Source organism: Homo sapiens, chromosome 18 (genome assembly GCF_000001405.40).
Source record: "Homo sapiens chromosome 18, GRCh38.p14 Primary Assembly".
NCBI classification, from domain to species: domain Eukaryota; kingdom Metazoa; phylum Chordata; class Mammalia; order Primates; family Hominidae; genus Homo; species Homo sapiens.
The window spans coordinates 76275522-76298086 of record NC_000018.10 but is presented as its reverse complement, the minus strand read 5'-3'; the positions used below and the strand labels follow the sequence as shown (position 1 = coordinate 76298086).

Genomic DNA, 22565 nt, shown 5'->3' with positions numbered 1-22565 from the left:
TTTCTGTGTGTCACTTTCCTTTTTCTGTCTATAAATGTTAACTGACCAGGTGGCATCCCTGGAGTCACTTTCCTTTTTCTGTCTACAAATGTTAACTGACCAGGTGGCATCCCTGGAGTCATTCTGAACCTATTCTGGTTCAGGGGGCTGCAGGATATTCCAGTTGTTCTTTGCTCAGTTAAACTTTGTTGAATTTAATTTGTCTGAAGTTTTCCTTTTAACAATGTGTTGTGTTTTTATGATCATTCAGTTTAAAATAATTTAAAATTTCCCTTTATATTTATTTTTAGTCCTATTGATTATTTAGAAGTGTATTGGAGTACATTTCTTACTATATTAGTCAGAATTCTCCAGAGAAACAGAATCAATAGGATGTGTGTGTGTGTGTGTGTGTGTGTAGAGATTTATTTTATGGAATTGGCTCACATGATTGTAGAGGTGAGGCAAGTCCAAAGTCGCATAGGGGAGGCTGGTAGGTAGAGACTCAGGAAAGAGTTGCATTTTGAGTCCAAAGGCCTGTAGAACCAGGAGGAGCCAATGTTGCGATGAAGTATGAAGGCAGTTGGCTGGAGAACTCCCCCTTGCTTGGGGGGAGGTCAACCTTTTGTTCTATCGAGGCCTTGGACTAACTGGATGAGGTCCAGCCATCTATGGAGGACAGTCTGCTTTATTCCACATCCACCAATTTAAATGTACAAACTATACAAGGATACCCTCACAGAAACATCCAGACTTCTATGTGACCAGATATCTGGGCATTGTGACCCAGACAAATTGATATATAAAATTAACCATCACACTTGCTATCCAAAAATCAGGGCATTTTAGATACTTTGATTTTTAATTTAGCAACATTGTGGTCTGAGAATGTGTGTTGTTATTATTTTGATTCCATTAAATATATTAAGACTTGTCTTATGGCCCAGAGTATGATCTATTTTGATGAACCTTCCATGTGCAGTTGAAAACAGTGTGCAGTCTACAGTTGCTCAGTGGTTAGTAAAGAATGTGATCTAGTTGTCCAATAAATACTAATGGAGTGGAATTAGTATCTCCAACTATGATCCTACATATGTCTATTTCTCCATTTAGTTCTGCAAATTTTTGTTTCAGGTATTTCAAAGCTTTCATTAGGGGCATGCATTTTTATGGTGATTGATCTTTTTATTATTTTGAAATTTTTTGTCTGGTAATACTTCTTGCCTCCAGGCCTATTTTTCTGATGTTAATATAGCTATGGCTAGAGAGGGGTGGGGCAAGATGGCCCAACAGAAGTCTCCACCAATTGTGTTCCTGTGGTGTTCTCCCCACAGGAATTCCAAATTTAACAATGATCTACACAAAAACCACCTTCATAAGAACCAAAAATCAGGTGAGCAGACACAGTACCTGATTTTAACTTCATATCAGTGAAAGAGTCACTGAAACAGTCTTGATGCCACCCCTCCCCCCTCTCTGGCGGCGGCTGTGTGGGGTGGAAAGAGAATCTATGTGTTTGGGGAAGGGAGAACGTGGCAATTGCAGGAGTTTGCACTGGAACTCAGTGCTGCCAACACCCGGCAGAACTCAGCCAATGTCCACAGAGCGAGCATTTAGATCAGCTCTAGCCAGAGTGGAATTGCTCATCCATGTGATCAGAACTTGAGTTTCAGCAAGCCTTGCCACCATGAGCTAAAGTGCTCTGGGTGCTCAATAAACTTGGAAAGACTGCAACTCCTAGGCATCACCCAGTGCTGTGCTGGGCTCAAAGCCAATAGACGTGTAGGGCACACGACCTAGTGAGACACCAGATGGGGCATCAACAAGAGTGCTTGCATCACCTCCTCCCAACCCCAGGCAGTGCAGCTTGCAGTTCCTGGAGAGACTCCTTCCCTCCACTTGAGGAGAGGGAAGAGAAAAGAAGACTTTCTTTTGCAACTTGGATACCAGCTCAGACACAGTAGGATAGGGCACCAGGCAGAGTTGTGAGACCCTCATTCCAGGTCCTAGTTCCCAGATGACAGTTCTAGACATATCCTGGGCCAGAAGAGAACCCACTGCCTTGAAGGGAAGGACCCACACCTGGCAGGATTCATCACCTGCGGACTAAAGAGCCCTTTAGCAATAAATAATCAGCTGTGGTAACCAGGTAGTATATGCTGTGAGCCTTGGGTGAGACTGAAACGTGCTGGCTTCAGGTGTGATCCAGAATATTCCCAGCTGTGGCTGCTATGAGGAGTGACTGCTTCTGCTTGAGAAAAACAGAGGGAAGAGTACCTTGCAGCTTATGCAGCAGCTCAGCCATGGGGGGGTAAAGCAAAAAGTGGGCTCCTGGGGACCCTAATTCCAGGCTGTGGCTCTTGGATAGCATTTCTGGACCTGCCCTGGGTCAGAGTGGAGCCTGGATTATTGCAGGCCGTAAGTGAGACCCAGCGCTGTGCTGGCTGTAGAGCTGACTCAGTACAGTCCCAGTGGTGGTTGCCATAGGGGTGCTTGTGTCATCCCTCCCCCAGCTCCAGGCAGCTCAAAACAGACTGCAAGGATGACAATAAATACCTTACTCCTTAATGCCTAGACACTGATGAACATCCACAGGCATCAAGACCATCCAGAAAACATCACCTCACAAAATGAACTTAGTAAGTGACCAGGGACCAATCCTGGAGAGACAGAGACGTGATATTTCAGAGAATTCAAAATAGCTGTTTTGAGGAAACTCAGAGAAATTCAAGATAACACAGAGAAGGAATTTAGAATCTTATCAGATAAGTTTAACCAAGTAATTGAAATAATTTAAAAGAATCAAGCAGAAATTCTGGAGTTGAAAAATGCAATCAACATGTTAAAGAATGTATCAGAGTCTATTAATAGCAGAATTGATCAAACAGAAGAAAGAATTAGTGAGCTTGAAGACAGGCTATTTGAAAATACACTGTCAGAGGAGACAAAAGAAACAATAAAAATGAATGAAGCTTGCCTACAAGATCTAGAAAATAGCCTCAAAAGGGCAAATCCAAAAATTATTGGCATTAGAAGGGAAAGATAGGGGTATAAGTCTTATTCAAAGGGATAATAACAGAGAAATTCCCATACCTAGAGAAAGGTATCAATATTCAAGTACAAGAAGCTTATAGTAATGTAGCAGATTTAACCCAAAGAAGACCAGCACAAGGCATTTAATAATCAACCTCCCAAAAATCAAACATAAAGAAAGGACCCTAAAAGGAGCAAGAGTAAAGAAATAAATTACAATGGAGGACCAATATGCCTGATGCAGGCTTTTCAGTGTAAACCTTACAGACCAGGAGAGATTGGCGTGACATAGTTAAAGTACTGAAGGAAAAACCTTTAACCTTAGAATAGTTTAAACAGTGAAAACACCCTTCAAACAGGAAGGAGAAATAAAGACTTTCCTAGACAAACAAAAGTTGAGGAATTTCGTTAACACCAGACCTGTTCCACAAGAAATGCTAAAGAGAGTTATTTAATGTGAAAGAAAAGAACGCTAATTAGCAAATAATAACAAATCACCTGAAGGTACAAAACTCACTGGTAATAGTACATGCCCAGAAAAACACAGAATATTGTAACACAGTAATTATGGAACATAAACTACTGTTATCTTAAGTAGAAGGATGAACCAGTAAAAAATAATAACTACAACTTTTCCAGACATAGACAGTACAATAAGATACAGACTGAAGCAACAAAAAGTTAAAAAGCAAGGGGACAAAGTTAAATTGTAGAGTTTTCATTAATGTTCTTTTTGCTTTGTTTATTCATGTAATCAGTGTTAAGTTGTCATCAGTTATAAGATATGAATTGCTAGCCTCATGGTGACCTCAAATCAAGAACCATACAAAAGATACACAAAAAATAAAAAGCAAGAGATTAAATCATCCCGCTAGCGAAAATCACCTTCATTAAAAGGAAGACCAGAAGGAATGAAAGAAGGAAGAGAAGACCACAAAACAACGAGAAAACAAACAACAAAATGGCAAGAGTAAGTCCTAACTTATTAATAATAACATTTAATGTAAATAGACTAAACTCACCAATCAAAAGATGTAGAGTGGGTGAATGGTTAAAAAAGCAAAAGCCAACCATCTATAGCCTACAAGAAACACACTTTACCTATAAGGACACACATAGACGGAAAATAAAGGGATGGAGAAATATATTCCATGCCAACAGAAGCCAAAAAAAGGGCAGGATAGTTACATTGGATAAAATAGATTTGAAGACAAAAACTGTAAAAAGAGACAAAGGTGATTATAAAATGATAAAGGGGTCAATTCAGCAAGAGGATATAACAATTGTAAGTATATATACACTCAACACTGGAGCACCCAGATATGTAAGCACAAATATTATTAGAGCTAAAGAGAGACAGGCCCCAGTACAATAAAAGCTGGAGATTTCAACATTCCACTTTCAGCATTGGACAGATCATGCAGACAGAAAATCAACAAAGAAACATTGGACCTAATCTGCACTAAAGACAAAATGGATCTAATAAATATTTACAAAACGTTTCATCTGATGGTTGCAGAACACATTCTTCTCCTCAGCCCATGGAGCATTCTCAAGGATAGACCATATGTTAGGCTACGAAACAAGTCTTAAAACATTCACTAAAACTTAACTAATATAAAATATCTTCTCTGACTACAATGGAATAAAATGAGAAATAAATAAAGACAGGAATTTTGGAAACTACACAAACATATAGAAATTAAATAATATGCTCTGAATGACCAGTGGGTCAATGGAGAAATAAAGAAGAAAATTGAAATTTTTTTGAGACAAATAATAATTGAAACACAACATATCAAAACCTGTGGGATACAGTGAAAACAGTACTAAGAGGGAAGTTTATAGCTATAAGCCCCCATATCAAAAAGGAAGAGAAACTTCAAAACCTAGCAATACATCTTAAAGAACTAGAAAAGCAAGAGCAAACCAAACTCAATGTTAGTAGAGGAAAATAAATGATAAACATCAGAGTAGAAATAAATAAAATTGAAATCAATAAAGTAATACAAAAGATTAACAAAATGAAAAGTTGGCTTTCTGAAAAGATAAACAAAATTGACAAACCTTTCACCAAACTAGGAAAAAAAGAGAAAAGACCCAAATAAATCAGAGATGGAAAACGAGACATTACAATCAATACTGCAGAAATTCAAAGGATGATTAATGGCTATTATGAGCAACCATATGCCAATAAATTGGAAAATCCAAAAGAAATAAAGTCCTAGACACACACAACCTACCAAGAGTGAACCATGAAGAAATCCAAAACCTGAAAAGACCAATAACAAGTAATGATATCAAAGCCATAATAAAGTGTCTCCTAGCAAGCAACAGCCTGGGACCTGCTGGCTTCATTGCTGAATTCTACCAAACATTTAAAGAAGAACTAATACCAATCCTACTCAAACTATTCTTAAAAGTGGAGGAGGATAGAATACTTCCAAACTCATTCCTTGAGGCTAGTATTTCTCTCATACCAAAACCAAACAAAGGCATATCAAAAAAAGCAAACTATGGACCCATGTTTCTGATGAATATTGATGCAAAATTTCTCTCAAAATACTAGAAAACAAAATTCAACAACACATTAAAAAGATCACTTATCATGGCCAAGTGGAATTTATCCCAGGGATGCAAGGGTGGTTCAACATACACAAATCAATCAATATGATACATTATATCAACAGAATGAAGGATGAAACCATATAATCATTTCAATTGAAACTGAAAAGGCATTTGATAAAATTCAACATCCCTTCATGATAAAAAAAACCCTCAAAAAAACAGTATAGAGAGAACATACCTGAACATAATAAAAGCCATATGTGACTGACCCACAGCTAGTGTCATAATGAATGAGAAAAACCTGAAAACTTTTCCTCTAAGACCGAGAACATGACAAGAATTTCCCCTTTGAACACTGTTATCCAACATAGTACTGGAAGTCCTAGCTAGAGGAATTAGACAAGCGAGGCAAATAAAGGGCATCCAAATTGGAAAGGGAGAAATCAAATTATCCTTGTCTGCTGATGATATGACCTTATGTTTTGAAAAGTCTAAAGACTCTACAAAACAACTATTAGAACCGATAAATAAATTCGGTAAAGTTGCAGGATACAAAATCAACATACAAAGACCAGTAACATTTCTATATGCCAACAGCGAACAATCTGAAAAAGAAATAAAAAAGTAATCCCATTTAGAATAGCCACGAATAAAATTAAATAGCTAGGAATTAACTTAACCAAAGAAGTGAAAGATCTCTATAATGACAAAGAAGTGAAAGATCTCTATAATGAAAACTATAAAACACTGATGGACGAAATTGAATAGACACCAAAACATGGAAAGATGTTCCACGTTGATGGATTGGAAGAATCAACATTGTTAAAATGACCCTGCTACCCAAAGCAATCTACAGATTTGGTGCAATCTCTGTCAAAATACCAATGATGTTCTTCACAGAAATAGAGAAAACAATTCTAAAATGTATATGGAACCACAAAAGACCCAGAATAGCCAAAGCTATCCTAAGTGAAAAGAAAAGAACTGGAAGAATCACAATACCTAACTTGAAATTACACTACAGAACTATAGTAACCAAAACAATATGGTACTGGCATAAAAACAGACACATAGAACAATGGAACAAAATAGACACATAGAACAATGGAACCCAGAAACAAATCCATACACTTACCGTGAACTCATTTCTGACAAAGGTTCTAAGAACATACATTGTATAAAGAAAAGTCTCTTCAATAAATGATGCTGGGAAAACTGGATATCCATATGCAGAATGAAACTAGACCCCTATCTCTCGCCACATATATAAATCAAATCATAATGGATTAAAGACTTAAACATAAGACCTCAAACCATGAAACTACTAAAAGAAAACATTGGAGGAACTCTCCAGGACATTGGAGTGGGCAAAGATTTCTTGAGTAATACCCCACAAACACAGGCAACCAAAGCAAAAATGGACAAATGGGATCACATCAGGTTAAAAAGCTTCTGCACAGCAAAGGAAAAAAATCAACAAAGTGAAGAGACAACTCACAGAATGGGAGAAAATATTTGCAAACTACTCATCTGAGAAAGGATTAATAAACAGAATATGGAGTTCAAGCAACTCTATAGGGAAAATATAATAATCTGATTAAAAAATAATTTAATTGTACATTAAAAAAACTAAAAAAGTATAATTGGATTGTTTGTAACACAAGGGATAAATGCTTGAGTTGATGGATACCCATTTACCCTGATGTGATTATTACACATTGCATGTCTGTATCAAAATCTCTCATGTACTCCATAAATACATACACCTATTATGTACCCATGGAAATTGAAAATAAAATGTAGCTATTAGCAGCTTATTTTTATAAAATATATGTAATGTATATTTCAACCTTTTACTTTCAACCTGTACATTTATGTTTTACGTTGATATTTATATTTACAGGAATCTAGTAGTTAGCACATCATTGAGGTTTACATTTTTTATCCAGTCTCAGAATCCCTGCCTTTTTCTTGGATGAAAATTAACCTACACTCAATGTAATTATTAATATAGTCTATTTGTGGTTTACTCTTTTGTTTTCATTTATCTTTTTTGTTTGTTGCATTGTTCCTTTATTCTTCCTTTCCTCTCTTATTGTTGGTTATTCAAATATTCTTTTAGGCTTCTAATATAATTCTTTAATTGTCTTTTTGGCTATAGCACTTTACATTATGTGTTAGTACTTTACATTATGTGTTACACTTTACATTATGTGTTAGCACTTTACATTACGTGTTAGTGATTGCTGTGGAGATTACACTGCACCTTTAATAATGCTCTGCTTAAGGCTAATATTATACTATTTCACATAATTAGGAAGAAATTTATAACAGCATAGTTCCTCCATCCTTTGTGCTATTGTTCTTATATGTATATTACAGCTATGCATGTTATTATTTTTACAATGCATTGCTGTAATATTTGCTTTAAATAGTGATATGTCTTAAATAAATTGAGAAAATTATAACTTTTGATAGCAACCTACACAACTACCACTTTTAGTATTCTTCTTTCCTTCTTATAGATCTACCCGGTGTCATTTGCCTTCAGACTACAAAAATTTACTTGTTATGCAGATATACAGAACAAGAAATAAGTGTTTTTTTTAATGTTCATTTTTAAATAATAGTTTTACTTGATAAAGAATTCTGGGCTTACAGTTTCTTTCAGCACTTTGGTGATGTTAATTCCATTTCCTCCATTGTGTCTGGTGAGAAGATAAATATCACTGATATTGTTTTCTTGTATGTAATGTGTCTTTTCCTTCAACTATTTTCAAGATTTTCTTTTTTCTTTGAATTTTTTTTTTTTACTGGGAGTTCACTGAGAGCCTTGAATCTGTAAGCTTATATTCTTCACTGAATTGGAAACATTTCAACCTTATTTCTTAATTTTTTTGCTTTGCCCTTATGGAACTCCAATTATGTGTACAAATTTATGTATGTATGTATGTATTTATTTATTTATTTTTGAGACGGAGTCTTGCTCTGTCGCCAGGCTGGAGTGGAGTGGCACGATCTCGGCTCACTGCAGCCTCCGCCTCCGGGGTTCAAGCTATTCCCCTGCCTCAGCCTCCTGAGTAGCTGAGACGACAGGCACGCACCACCACGCCTGGCTAATATTTTGTATTTTAGTAGAAACAGGGTTTCACCACATTGGCCAGGAAGATCTTGATCTCCTGACCTCATGATCCACCTGCCTTGGCCTCCCAAAGTGCTGGGATTACAGGCGTGAGCCACCACGCCCGGCCTGTGTATAAATTTATAACTTGGATATTCTCCTTTAGGTCTGTGAGATGCTGTCCTTTTATTTATTTATTTTTTTACCCTCTCTATTCTTCAGATTGTATTATTGTGTACATTCATTTTCAATTTTACTGATTCTTTCTTGTGCTACTTCACTATATTCACTCTTTCAGTTAATGGAGTTCTCAGTTCTATAATTTTCATTTGGTTTTTGTTTTAATAGTTACTCTTACTCTGCTGTATTTGTAATTTTTTCATTGATTATGACTATATTTTCCTTCAAGTTTTTGAACATATTTATAATATCTGATTTAAGTTATTTTCTGCTAATTTTTAATATATAGGATATCTTGGAGTCAGTTTTTTTTTTTTTTTTTTTTTTTGAGACGGAGTCTCACTGTGTCGCCCAGGCTGGAGTGCAGTGGCATGATCTCAGCTCACTGCAACCTGTGCCTCCCAGGTTCACACCATTCTCCTGCGTCAGCCTCCCGAGTAGCTGGGACTACAGGCGCTTGCCACCATGCCCGGCTAATTCTTTTTGTATTTTTTTTAATAGAGACGGGTTTCACCATGTTAGCCAGGATGGTCTCGATCTCCTGACCTCGTGATCTGCCCGCCTCGGCCTCCCAAAGTGCTAGGATTACAGGCGTGAGCCACCGTGCCCGGCTGGAGTCAGTTTTGATTGCTTTTTCTCTTGACTATGGTTGATTTTTTTTTTTTGCATGTCTACTAATTTTTGGGTACTTGAGAGTCTGGCTATTACACTGCAGACTTTGGATTTTTTTATATGTTTTTTGAAGAACATTCTAGCAGTCAATTACCCTGGCTGAACTCAAACTCCAAACCCTGTTTCTCTGTCACCACTAAAATCTCTCCCTTTTACTCATCTTTTCTGCTGATCCTCCTGAAGTTTCTCCTGTGCATATGTAAATCAGAAATTAGCTAAAATTTTGGGCAGACTTTATATTTGGAAGTAGAACTTCTCATTTGTATATCATCCTTTCTGTGATTTCTTCTTTCAATTTCTAGCACTCTGGTGGTCCCAAATTTTGTATTCTGACTTCTTTTTTTTTTTTTTTTTGAGACGGAGTCTTGCTCTGTCGCCCAGGCTGGAGTGCAGTGGCGCCATCTCCGCTCACTGCAAGCTCCCCCTCCCGGGTTCACGCCATTCTCCTGCCTCAGCCTCCCGAGCAGCTGGGACTACAGGCGCCCGCCACCGCGCCCGGCTAATTTTTTGTATTTTTAGTAGAGACGGGGTTTCACCTTGTTAGCCAGGATGGTCTCGATCTCCTGACCTCGTGATCCACCCGCCTCGGCCTCCCAAAGTGCTGGGATTACAGGCGTGAGCCACCGCGCCCGGCCGTATTCTGACTTCTTAAGGCGGTAATCCCTGGCTTTCCGCTTGAGTCTCAGCAGCTTTATTCCAGCCAGGTGAGCGTGTGCTCTCAGAAAAAGCCACATAATCCTGCATCTCACCCTGTGCAGGCCCCTCTTTAAAATATTAAGTTCCCTTGGGTTTTGTGCCTCCTTTTCATTAATCTCTAATTAGGTGATTTTTATATTTTTTTCAAAGTTTATATTTTTTATCCGTTGGAAGTTAGTCTAATACAAGCTACTCTTTTATTAACAGAAGAGGAATTCATGATCTCATCTTGATTAGAGGTATGATTGAGCATATTTTCATAAATTTTGTGTCATTTGATTTCTCTCTTGTGGAAAGCTTATTTATATCCATTGCCTTTTTGCTTGGATTTTTCTCATTGATTTGAAGAAACTCCTTGTGTTTTATGGATATTAATTTTCTGTTTTAACTAATTTACATATTTTCTCCCTCTATTTTCATTAATGAATTCTTTCCTTCATAAAATTATAGAAATGAAGAAAATCTATACAGCCAGTTTGGAAACCAAAAGAAACAGATGTAAAATGAAACTTGATAGCAACTTATCTTCAGGTTGCCTGGTTTTTCTGGCCTTGAGCAGACATTCAGTTTGAGAAATTACAGAAAATAATAGAAACCCACAGACTTTCTCTAGGAAAGGCTGAAGTGATGAAGTGGAAGGAGAAATCTCATATATCAGTGACAGTAGTAAAATTTGGGTTTTCAAATACAGTAATCCACACTATTGTCAATGTGTGGTCCTATTTGGGGCATAGCTAACTGGTGCATTTTTCCTTCAATCAAAGAGTATTGTGTCACCCAAGTCCAGGGTTAGGCTAAGAAAATAATTGTGAGCTGTTAGACCTTGGGCAGGTTGTCAGCCTGTTTTTCTCATTGTAAAATGAGATCAATACAGACTAATTTGTAGGATTATGGTGAGAATTAAAGATGGCATGTAAAGTACCTAGAAGAGTATTCAAATTGGTATCATTTGCTATGTGTAAACACTAGAAAGTGAATTAACTTTTCTTCTATATCTTGATCCCAGATAGAACAGAGATTTTTCTGTAAATAATGTCTCATAAATTCAATTATTTACGTATCTGCTTCTGTTACTTGAAGGATATGTACATAAACACTTATTGTAGAAAGAAGAAATCCATCCTTCGTTAATACAACACCAGTTTCCTAAATTTCCTCTCTCAGAGTTAAGAAAGTAGTTTTCCCTCTACCTACTTCAAAGGATTCTTTATCATGGACCATTGGCCTGAACATTCTTTATGAAATTACAATTGTGTAGGTAGTTTTGAGCATAACCCGAGATAGTCTCTTTAGTGTGTGAACTGGTTAGGATGGCCACAAAGCTTCCCCTTAATGACAAAAGAGCTTGAGAAATGCAAAAAACAAACAAGCGAACAAACATTATTATTAATAAAAAAAAAGGTGACACCAGAAAATGACTGTGGAAATTGAGTGTTAGTAAGATTGGGAATGTGCTACCAAAGAAAAGCATAGACTATCCCTCTCCAAGGAGCTTTGTGAAACACAAAACGTCCTTGTAAGTTCCTGTTTGGAAAGGGATAGGAAATACCAAATCCATAGCCTGACCAATTCCATGAGCATTTAACTTACCCCACTTAGTCTGTCTTCAAACTGAAACCCCCCAAGAAGCAGTAGGTCCCCCTAAACCTGAGCTCCAGTCCAGTCGCTCTCTGTCCCTGCAGCCCCTTCACTTCCTCTGCCTCATACATCCACCCGATCCACCCCAGGATGCTGTGCTGACCTCTGCTTCTGAGAATCGGTCCCACCTCCCTTTGTGCTTCTGCAGGGAGGGGTGTGGAGGGTGGCATGCTGGTCAACACTTTCACAAAAGCAGCAAGTTTGAGATGAAATCCTGTTTCCTCCAGGCTGGGGGCAAACATAGTCATGGGAACAGCAGCAAAACACAGTGCTCTGTACTTGTGGCCCATGTCTGAGCCTCCCAGCTTCTTCCCTAGATGTCTTGGGAGTCTGGGTGGGTGCAGTGGGGTGGCCTCTGCTTTTTGCCCTGCAGTGACTGCTCTTTTCTCCTTCTACTCTCTGGACCCCTGACTGGATTTCCTTATCAGAGACAGCATTGATTATTGCTGAAGTCACAGGTGCGCATTGCTCACCTCCACGAGGTTTAGGTTTAGCTCAAGAGAAAGGGCTCTTGGAGACATGCAGTAGTGGATTTACTATCTTGTGGGGTTTACCTTGAGTGTCTTCCTTTCTTTACATTGTGAGGCTTCTCTCAAATTTTCCATCTCTAGCTTTCTTCTCTTTACCTTTGAGCCTCAACTTGTCATGAGCAGAAATTTGACTAGGCAGGCTGATGTGGTGGCATTTATTTTCTCTTAAAAACGTGTGCTTGGTTGGGCGCGGTGGCTCACGCCTGTAATCCCAGCACTTTGGGAGGCCGAGGCGGGCACATCACAAGGTCAGGAGATTGAGACCATCCTGGCTAACATGGTCTCTACTAAAAATACAAAAAGAATTAGCCAGGTGTGGTGGCAGGTGCCTGTAGTCCCAGCTACTTGGGAGGCTGAGGCAGGAGAATGGTGTGAACCCGGGAGGCGGAGCTTGTAGTGAGCTGAGATCGCACCACTGCACTCCAGCCTGGGCGACAGAGCGAGACTCCGTCTCAAAGAAAAAAAAAACAAAACACAAACCAACCAACCAACAAACAAAGAAAAAATGTGCTTTCCCAGAAATAATATAAACAACACGACACACTCACCATATTTAGCAGAGAGAAGCTGTTTTAATGTTTAAAGAGTCGTCATTTTTCAGAGTGATGTCCCTGCCCTGTCTCTGTCTCCTTACCCGTTTGGCCTGGGGCAGGTGATTTAGCATCCTCATATGTGAAAGGTCGGGCCTGCATTAGGTATTTCAGGTTCACAGAGAGGGCAGCAGGGAGAACTTTCTTCCTCTGAGTACATTTTCCTAAAGTGATACTGTTTAGAATATATACATTTATGTTAATTAGCATATAATTAACAATTTTAAAGTCCACGCTTTGGTGTCATTCAATACATTCACAATGTTGTGTAAGCTCCACCCCTATTTGGTCCCCAAACCTTTTAACCTGCCCAAAAGTATACCTCGTACCCAGTCAGCAGTCCATCTCCCTTGCCTCCTACCCACTAGTCTTAGAATCATTAGTCTGGTTTTTGTCCCCACAGGTTTACCTATTGTGGAAATATCATATACACAACATATGATCTTTTGTGTCTGACTTATTTCACTTGGCATAATGCTTTCAGTGTTCATTCACATTGTACCATGTGTGAGTACTCCATTCCTTTCTATGGCTGAATAATATTCTGTTGTATTGCTATACCACAATTTGTTTACCCATCCATCCATCAGTGTGCATTTGGGCCATTTCTACTTTTTGGTGATTGTGAACAATGCTGCTGTGACCCTGTCTATCCATGTACTTGTTTGATACCTGTTTTTAATTCTTTTAGGTATATACCTAGGAGTGGAGCAAGTGATACCTTTTGAAAAATTTTAAAAATGAGCGTAGGTTGGTATGATGCTTGTTATGTCTGTGATAATGAGAAATGAGTGACAGCATGTGGAAGTGAGTGTGCAGGACACTAGCCCTCCCTTGGTGTGCCTGTTCCTCCACCCATATGATGTTTATTGACATCAACTAAGCTAGGCTGGATGAGGACAGGAGGCAGGAGGAGCTGCCATTGTGTAGCATGCACACACTTTGCCTGCTTATTCAACCAAATACTCATTGTGGTCTGCTGTGAAGGGATTTTGCAGAAGCCATTGAATCCTTCTCAGTTGACCTTAAGTAAGTGGAGCATGCTGGTGGGTGTGATCAGCAGAGCCCTGCACAGGAAGGCTCAGGTATTCCTTGCCCTGGACTCCAAATAGCATCAGGGTGTTCATGGCTCACCCTGCACTGGGGACACCCTTCCTGACTGCCTGCCCTACGAGATTTTAGATTTAGTTTTCAGTCTCATGATCACACAGGGCAATTCTTGACACACAGTTCTCCATCTCTCTCTATCTGTATCTGTCTGTCTGTCTCTTCCAGTGGTTCTATTTTTCTGGTTGAACCGTGACTGACACACCCAGCAATAGCCCAGACCCTCATTCAAGCTTGGCTCAGCCTTCTCCATGAGGGCTGGGCCAGTAATCGATGTGTGTGAACGTTCAGGTGAGAACTGAAGCTACCAGAGTAACTGTGACCTTTTCAAGGGAGCAGACATGACGTAGGTCTTGCCTCTGCTGCTCTCAGGGAATAGTGTTTCTGATTGTTTAAGAAAACATAGAAACAGAGTTATAGAAAATTTGTAAATGTTGACATCTAATTGGAACTCCTTAACAAACAATGGTTGAGACTTCTGTGCCTGGAAAGATGGGGTAAATATAGTTTTCTCTATTCCTCCCATTAAGCACAACTAACCCCTCTGGACATGATATATACAACACACATAAGATGACTGTGGGCCGGGTGCAGTGGCTCACGCCTGTAATCCCAGCACTTTGGGAGGCTGAGGCGGGCGGATCACAAGGTCAGGAGATCGAGACCATCTTGGCCAATGTAGTGAAACCCTGTCTCTACCAAAAATATAAAAAATTAGCCAGGCGTGGTGGTGGGCACCTGTAGTCCCAGCTACTTGGGAGGCTGAGGCAGGAGAATGGCATGAACCTGGGAGGTGGAGCTTGCAGTGAGCTGAGATCGCACCACTGCACTCCAGCCTAGGTGACAGAGTGAGACTCCATCTCAAAAAAAGAAAAAAAAAAGAATAATGTATTTATACCAATACACTTAAAAACAAATGTTTCTAAAATTATTTTAAGAAATATAAACTACTGGCCAGGTGCGGTGGCTCACGCCTGTAATCCCAGCACATAGGGAGGCTGAAGCAGGCGGTTCACAAGGTCAAGAGATCGACACCATCTTGGCCAATGTAGTGAAACCCCATCTCTACCAAAAATATAAAAAAATTAGCCAGGCGTGGTGGTGGGCGCCTGTAGTCACAGCTACTCGGGAGGCTGAGGCAGGAGAATGGTGTGAACCCGGGAGACAGAGCTTGCAGTGAGCCGAGATTGCGCCACTGCACTCCAGCCTGGGTGAAAGTGTGAGACTTGTCTCAAAAAAAAAAAAAAAAAAAAAAAGACTGTGAAAGGCAAGAGAGAGGAGGCTGGCTTCCCAGTGACCTTGGGTTTTCTGGGTTTTCCTTTTGCCTTATACATCCCAGACTTAGAGCTAAAGAAGCTGACAACCTGGAAAAGTCAACATGCTCAGATGAAAGCAGCCCCTACAAAACTTGCTCTCTTGCCAGAGGAGCAGGAAAGAGGCAGCCAAGTACAACAGATAACTTTTAGTCAATAACCACTCCATCAGTGAAACACTGCAAGAAAACTGTGGCCCTGCCCACCAGAAAAGGCCTGGTGGAGAACCTAGACATGTGGGCTGAGGCAGCCAATTCCCCACTAGGGTGGTGTCAGAGAAGTCTGCATTCCAGGAGATGGGAGTTTCATCTTGCTGGCTGGCAATGATGCCTGTGTCAGTGCAGACCACTTTGGGAACCTGGACTTCCCCTCCTGCCATGCACTGAATTGTATCCTCCAAAATTCATATGCTGAAGCCTTAACCCACAACATGATTGTGTTTGGAGAAAGGCTCTACAAGGAGATAATTATGTTAAGTGTGGTCATAAGGGTGGGACCCTGGTCCTACAGGATTAGTGTCCTTATAAAAAAGAGGAAGAGAGAGATGAAAGTCCATGTGAAGACACAACAAGAAGGCTGCTGTCTGCAAGCCATAAAGAGAGCCCTCACCAGACATGGGCTCTGCTGGCACCTTAATCTTCAACTTCTGGCCTCCAGAACTATGAGAAAATTACTGTCTGTGGTTTAAGATGCCCAGTCTTTGGCAGTCTGAGTGGTAAGGAGGCTCCTTGCTGCCCCTCTGGTTTGGGGTCAGAGTGCTGGTGTCATTCAAGGCTGTGAACGGAGCAGATGCCCGGCTTTCCAGACCCTTCTGGACAGGAAAGTATCAGCAGAGGCTTGTGGGAAGGCAGAAACCACCTCCACCACAGTAATGACCAGCCCCACCCTGGGTGTCAGTGGAGTGCAGCTGAGGCTCTTGGACTTCTGTTCTCATTTGGCAGTCATGAGGTGGTGGTGGCTCCCTTCCCCACTGGAGGGATGCCAGAGGGAGCCAGCTAAAAGGAAGGTTTAGAGAAGACCCAGAGCCGCATAAGACAATGCCCAAAATGTCTGTGTTTCAATGGAAAACCGCTTGTCATACGAAGAATCAGGGAGATCCCAAATGGAATGAGAAAAGATGATCAGAAGCTGCCAAGACCAAAGGTCACACGTGTTAGAATTATTCAAAATGGGTTGAAAGAAGCCCTACAACAATGTGTCAACGAGCTGGTATGAACACACTTGAAACAAACGAATGAAACAGAAAGTTGGAGAAAAGAAATAGAAAATCCCAGCAAAGAAATAGAAAGCCTCAGCAAAATAGTAGAAGGTATAAAGAAGCAAACTGAAATTTTAAAAGTGAAAAATACAATAAGTGGAATAAAATTTCAATGGACAGGCTCAAGGGATGAACGAGGGGAAGGAGGAGTCAGTGAGTTGGGAGTGAATGCAACAGTAAGGAAACAAGCCAATTAGAAACAGACAAAAGTCATAAACAGCTATTTCACCCCAGAAGATATACAGATAGAAAATAAGCATCCAAAAATATGTTCAACATCATTAACCATTGGGGAAATGCAAATTAAAACCACAATGAGATATCGTTACACATTTATCAAAATGGCTAACATAAAAAAATAGGGTCGACATCAAATTCTGGTGAAGATGCAAAGAAATGGAGTCATTCATATATTACTGGTTGGAGTGTAAAATGGTACAGCCACTCTAGAAAAAAGTTGGGCAGTTCCTTAAAAAAATGAAACACACACTTAACATGCAATCCAGCAGTCACACTCCTGGGCATGTATCTCAAAGAAATGCAACGTATTTTCACACCAGCACTGTCCATGGATGTTCATAGCAGCTTTGTTAATAGTAACCTCACCCTAGAAGCAGCAGCCACACCATTGCTGGGTCATTACCCAGCAATATACTGAAGTCTTATTGATACACACAACAATCTGGACAAATCTCCAGAGAATTGTTTCCAAGAGCCAGACTCAAAAGTTAAATGCTGTTTGATTTTATTGACATAATATTCTAGAAATGATTATAGGAATGGGGAACAGCTTGTTTCCACTGGTAAAGATGGGGTGGGTGTGGAGGGACGTGGGTGTGTCTGTAAAAGGGTGAAAGGAGGGAGAGTTGTGGAGAAGGTCATGTTCTGCATCCCGGCTAGGTTAATCCTGGTGGGATGCTGCACTCTAGTTCTGAAAGATGTTACCATTCAGGGAAACTGGAGAAAGAGTGCAAGGGATCCTCTGTATTATTGCTTTTCTTTTCTTTCCTTTATTTTTTTTTGAGACAGAGTCTCATTCTGTCACCTGGGCTGGAGTGCAGTGGCGTGATCTCGGCTCACTGCAACTTCTGCCTCCTGGATTCAAGTGATTCTCCTGCCTCAACCTCCCAAGTAGCTGGGATTACAGGGATGCAACACCACATCCAGCTAATTTTTGTATTTTTAGTAGAGACGGGGTTTCATGATGTTGGCCAGGCTGGTCTTGAACTCCTAACCTCAGGTAATCTGCCCACCTTGGCATCCCAAAGTGCTGGATTTATGTATTATTTCTTACAACTGCATGCAAATCTACAATTATCTCAAAATAAAAAGTTTAATCAACCCTCCCAAAAATATTGGCATACAAATGTTTAGGATTACTAATAATTCCTTCCATTTCTAACATGCAAAACTTTTATCACGGGTACAATCATCTCTATACTTTCTGGAGTTCATTGACTATTTGGGGCAGTCATATCTGGTTGCTGATGGAAAACTTGGAACCCTGTGACCATTGCAGGCACTCCAATGAATAGCCATCATCAATATGAAACGTGGATCCATGGCCATGAAGAAACTTCTTTCTCTAAACCATTGCAATAATTTATGAGTTCTTTTTCCTTCACAAAACTTAATTAGCCCTGCAATAGAATCACAAGATGGAGGTGCATGACTCTACCTTGAGTCATGGGGCAGTTCTAAAAAACATCTGGTCACTCCAGGTTCACCCATGTAAGGCCAGGTGGAAAAGGCAGTTGAGGAAGTTTTGATGTCTCTTGACAGGTGGATCCTTATGTTGGTCAACACGTCTGCATAAGAAACACCTCGTGACGAATCACAGGTGAGTATTTGACTCCAGAGGCTGAGCTATTCAGAGGCTCTGATTAGGATTATTGGACAAGATTCTAGACCTTTTCAGAGATTGATGCTTAGTTACTATTCCAGTGAGCTGATTATAGGATGTCAAAGTCCATTGGCAATATCTCCATAACTTATGAACTTAGCACAGTTCAACTGGTGACAGTTTTGGAAATACTTTTACCATAGAATTAACCAGAAATTTCAGCTTTTAAAGACATTTTTATTGCTTTATGGAACTATATGGATTTGTTTATATTCATTGGCCATCCATTTATTTATTCCATAAACATTTATTAGATACTTCCAAAAATAGGCCATTCTGACCTATTTTTATCAAACAAACATTGTGTTTATACATCCACAACTTTTATGAAGACTTTAATTTTTTGGGAAGCAATCATTTCAACATATTGAAACCAAAAAAAGGGAAAGCCTCAAAAACATATCCTTTATCTTCTAGTAATGCTTTCTTGATATTTGGCACTAATAGAAATGACCTTTAGATTCTGTGAGTGCCCCTTAGATAATAAAGAAAAAAGATTCGTAAACCCACAGCTATATTCCCTACATGGAGGATTTAGATATTTTTGCATTTTTATTTCAATAACTTCCCTAAGGTGATGCCATATTTACTGTGCCAAAAGTTTCATTTTCAAATGAGATATCTTGTATGTGGTAAATCTCATTGTTCTTCCCCCCGCCGAGATGGAGTTTCACTCCATTCTGGGGTGAAGTGGTGTGATCTTGGCTCACTGCAACTTCAGCACCCCCAGGTTCAAGTGATTCTCCTGCCTCAATCTCCAGAGTAGCTGGGATTACAGGCACCCACCACCATGTCCGGCTAATTTTTGTATTTTCAGTAGAGATGGGGTTTCGCCATGTTAGGGCCAGGCTTAACTCCTGACCTCAGGCAATCCACCCCCCTTGGCCTTCCAAAGTGCTAGGATTACAGGTGTAAGCCACCACACCAGGCCTTGTTTTTATGATTATTATCTCCTTTTATTAATGATTTTTCTACTGATGCTGAATTGGTTAAATGGTTCTGAAATTTAGCTTATGCTGAGATGTTTGTGCTGAAAAATGTATGCACGGAGTCAATAATACTAAGAAGTGTTTTGTCCATGATTATATCCTGTTTTATGTACATTTATATTCTTTATATTCTGTGCAATAATGTACTTATTTTCAGATTGTGATGCTTAAATGAATCCATTATCCAAAATTTTTATGTGCATATTTTTTGTTCCTTCTTGGACCAAACTTATTGAAGTTGAAGTGCCATTTTTTTCTCACCCTCCCACAGAATTCATCATGTAGAGAGATGCTAATGAGATATGACGGAAGAAGGGTGCACAGGTGTATTATCTGGGCTCAGATTGGCAACTCTCTGATATACACACACAGGCACACACCCACACTCACATGCACACATACACAGAAAGCCATGCCTGATCAAAGACTTCCATTTGGTTGAACTTGGCAATGATTTTGAAATGTTGACAACTGTCAAATTAAGATCACCCAAGCCATTTCACAGGCTCAAATTTGGATGCAGGTCTCAGAACAGAAGGAGATAGCTCCTGGCTACTGCCCAAGTGACTTCACCATCTATCATTCAGTTAGCTGTGCTTTCCGAAACGGAGCAGTAGAGAGATGGGGGAGGTCGGCATCCAACTCCAGAAATCAGATTTTTCCGCATTTACCTTAATTGGCAGGAGGAACCTAGATTAGCCCTTTATTTAAGATGTGCAAATAAGGAGCTTGGTTATGTTTGTTCAGCTTCTCTTCTCTTAGCTTTTCCTCCTCCCTCGTCTTTATTTCCATTCTTTTCCTCCACTCATCTTGGGAGGAGCATTCATGTCTCAGTGCAGTGGAGGGGGTGGGATGCTACTGCTTCAGTTCCCCGAGGGGCTGCAATCCTCTGTATTTGGTCATGGTGGTGTTTTCTGTTGCTGTGTGTCAAGGCTATCCCCCTTCTCACTGTCAGTCCCAGTTAAAATGTTCATATGTTTATTGTCTTCCTCTTGATTTTAGGCTTTTTAAGAGCAATGGCTGTATTGCCTCAATTTTGGTCAGTATTTTCACACCCAAACAGAATCCTGTGTAGAGGAGAGGCTTCATAAGTGATACCAATGTGCTGGGAATAAACAGAGAATTTTGGTGCATTAGGATTAAACACCATTTTTAAGAAAAAATATGGTACATAATAGTTGTACACATTTGTGGGGTACATTTAATATTTTGATGCAAGCATATGATATGTAATGATCAAATCAGGGTACTTGGGATACCATTGCCTCAAATAATCCTTTTTATTCTGAGTTGCCATCATTTTTGGAACTTATGGCAGAAGACAGAAATCCAAAGTATTTACTGAAACGTTTTCTTTGTATTGTGTGATTATCTATTAGCAGATTACTCAGCTAACATTTTAACTGAATCCTTTCTGTTAAAAAAATGTAGTCTTTTGACTGTTTCCAAGAGGTATCTGCATCTGTACGGTTATCTGCTGATGTCGAGTTGAATGCCTGGGAAGTTCTCTGTATGCATGATAGATACCCTTAGAGTGCTGCTCCCTCTCTCCAAGTGGGGAGTTCCAGTTTATTCATAAATTTATATCCAGGGAGAAGAAGAAATTAAACCACAACTAACTTCAGAGTCTACTGTCAATGTGCCAGAGCAAGCTGGGTCCCAAAGCTCAAGCCAGTCATGTGCAGCAGACCCCACAGGCCACTGCATTCCTGAAAAGAAAATGCTACAACACCATTTTGGCCGGCATGCTCTCAGGACCACAGGACAGTAGGTTGTGAGAACAGAATGCATGTAGAAGTCATCGACATATTTGAATATTTTTGGAATTTCTTTTGTAGCTGTGGATTCAACTTTATTTGGTGTTGTGACAATAAGATACCCACATAATAGGTTAAAAACAGATCCTTCGATTTAATATCCAGTGTTTCTTGCCTACAGGATTTCAAACAATACCTGTGAAAGCACTGAATGCCTGTTTTGGGGTGACACCCTCAGCTGTGTGTAATGCACAGGAGGACACAGCAGTGCTTAAGCCCGCAACAGACTTTGGCATTTTGCAATCTGGACTTGAGGGTACTAGCTACATGTTTTCTGGCATGAAGAAGCCAAGCTTCCTCAGAATCCCTGTGTTTTGAAACTTGAGTAGGAAAGAGAAGTCCCTCGGGGCATCAGCTGTCAAATTTTCTGTTATCCTCAGCTGGGGAGCCAGCACCTTAGGCTGGTCACAAAAGGGCCCTATAGAAACAAGAAGGCTCAGCCTGGCCCCTTCTGGGAGAGGGCTCCATCTCAGGCAGTCAGGTCGAGTTTCAGAGTGTCAGACACACCCAGAAGCTGCTGTTGATGGCAGTGCAGGTTGGGCACAGTGCCACATTAGGAAGTGCCATTTGCATAGACCAAGGTATAACGGTTCCCCCACGCCCACTTGTGCAGTGCACAATCTGAACCACAACACGTGGCAGTCAGGGTAGCGTGGACCACTTCCGGAGCTCTGCACATCCTTCTTTTGAGATGCACATGGTCTTCTGCAATCCAGAGTGGTCTGCTTCTGCCAATAGCAGGACAGGATCACCCTCAAGTTGCTGAGAGAGAGGACTGGAATTTATGGGAGGTGCCAGCCCCAGCACAAAGGGAGGAGTTGGTTTACTAGTTCCTAGTATATCACTAATTGTGTAACTTTGCAGGAAAACGCTTTCTGGTTTCCAATATGTTCTGTTGAAAAAAACAGTTATGGCAATATCCCCATTTCCCATATTGAAAGATTACCTTAAATGTAAGTTAAATAACAGTTACACAAGTGCTAGAATAGTAGAGTTGGTAATCAACACAATGTGCTCTAATAATCTCTGGAAATAGTGAGCACTGATGGGTAGTGTTTAGGGAATCAGATTTAAAAGACAGGACGTCTTCAAAGCGAAGCACAGTCATTTGTGTTCCGTATGTTGGTAGGCTCCAAACATGAAATATGGTTTCTTTGAAAGAATACATTAT

The 22565-nt window shown here is 40.1% G+C and overlaps 1 long non-coding RNA gene across 1 annotated transcript in view; it reads left to right on the top strand.

Moving 5' to 3' along the window:
• The window catches only part of LOC105372211 (uncharacterized), a 46771-nt gene extending 27463 nt beyond the window's left edge, over positions 1-19308 (top strand). The window contains exon 4 of the long non-coding RNA XR_935655.2: positions 18468-19308. This is a non-coding gene — a long non-coding RNA (uncharacterized LOC105372211). The remainder of the gene's footprint in view (positions 1-18467) is intronic.
• The last annotated feature ends 3257 nt before the right edge of the window (positions 19309-22565 follow it).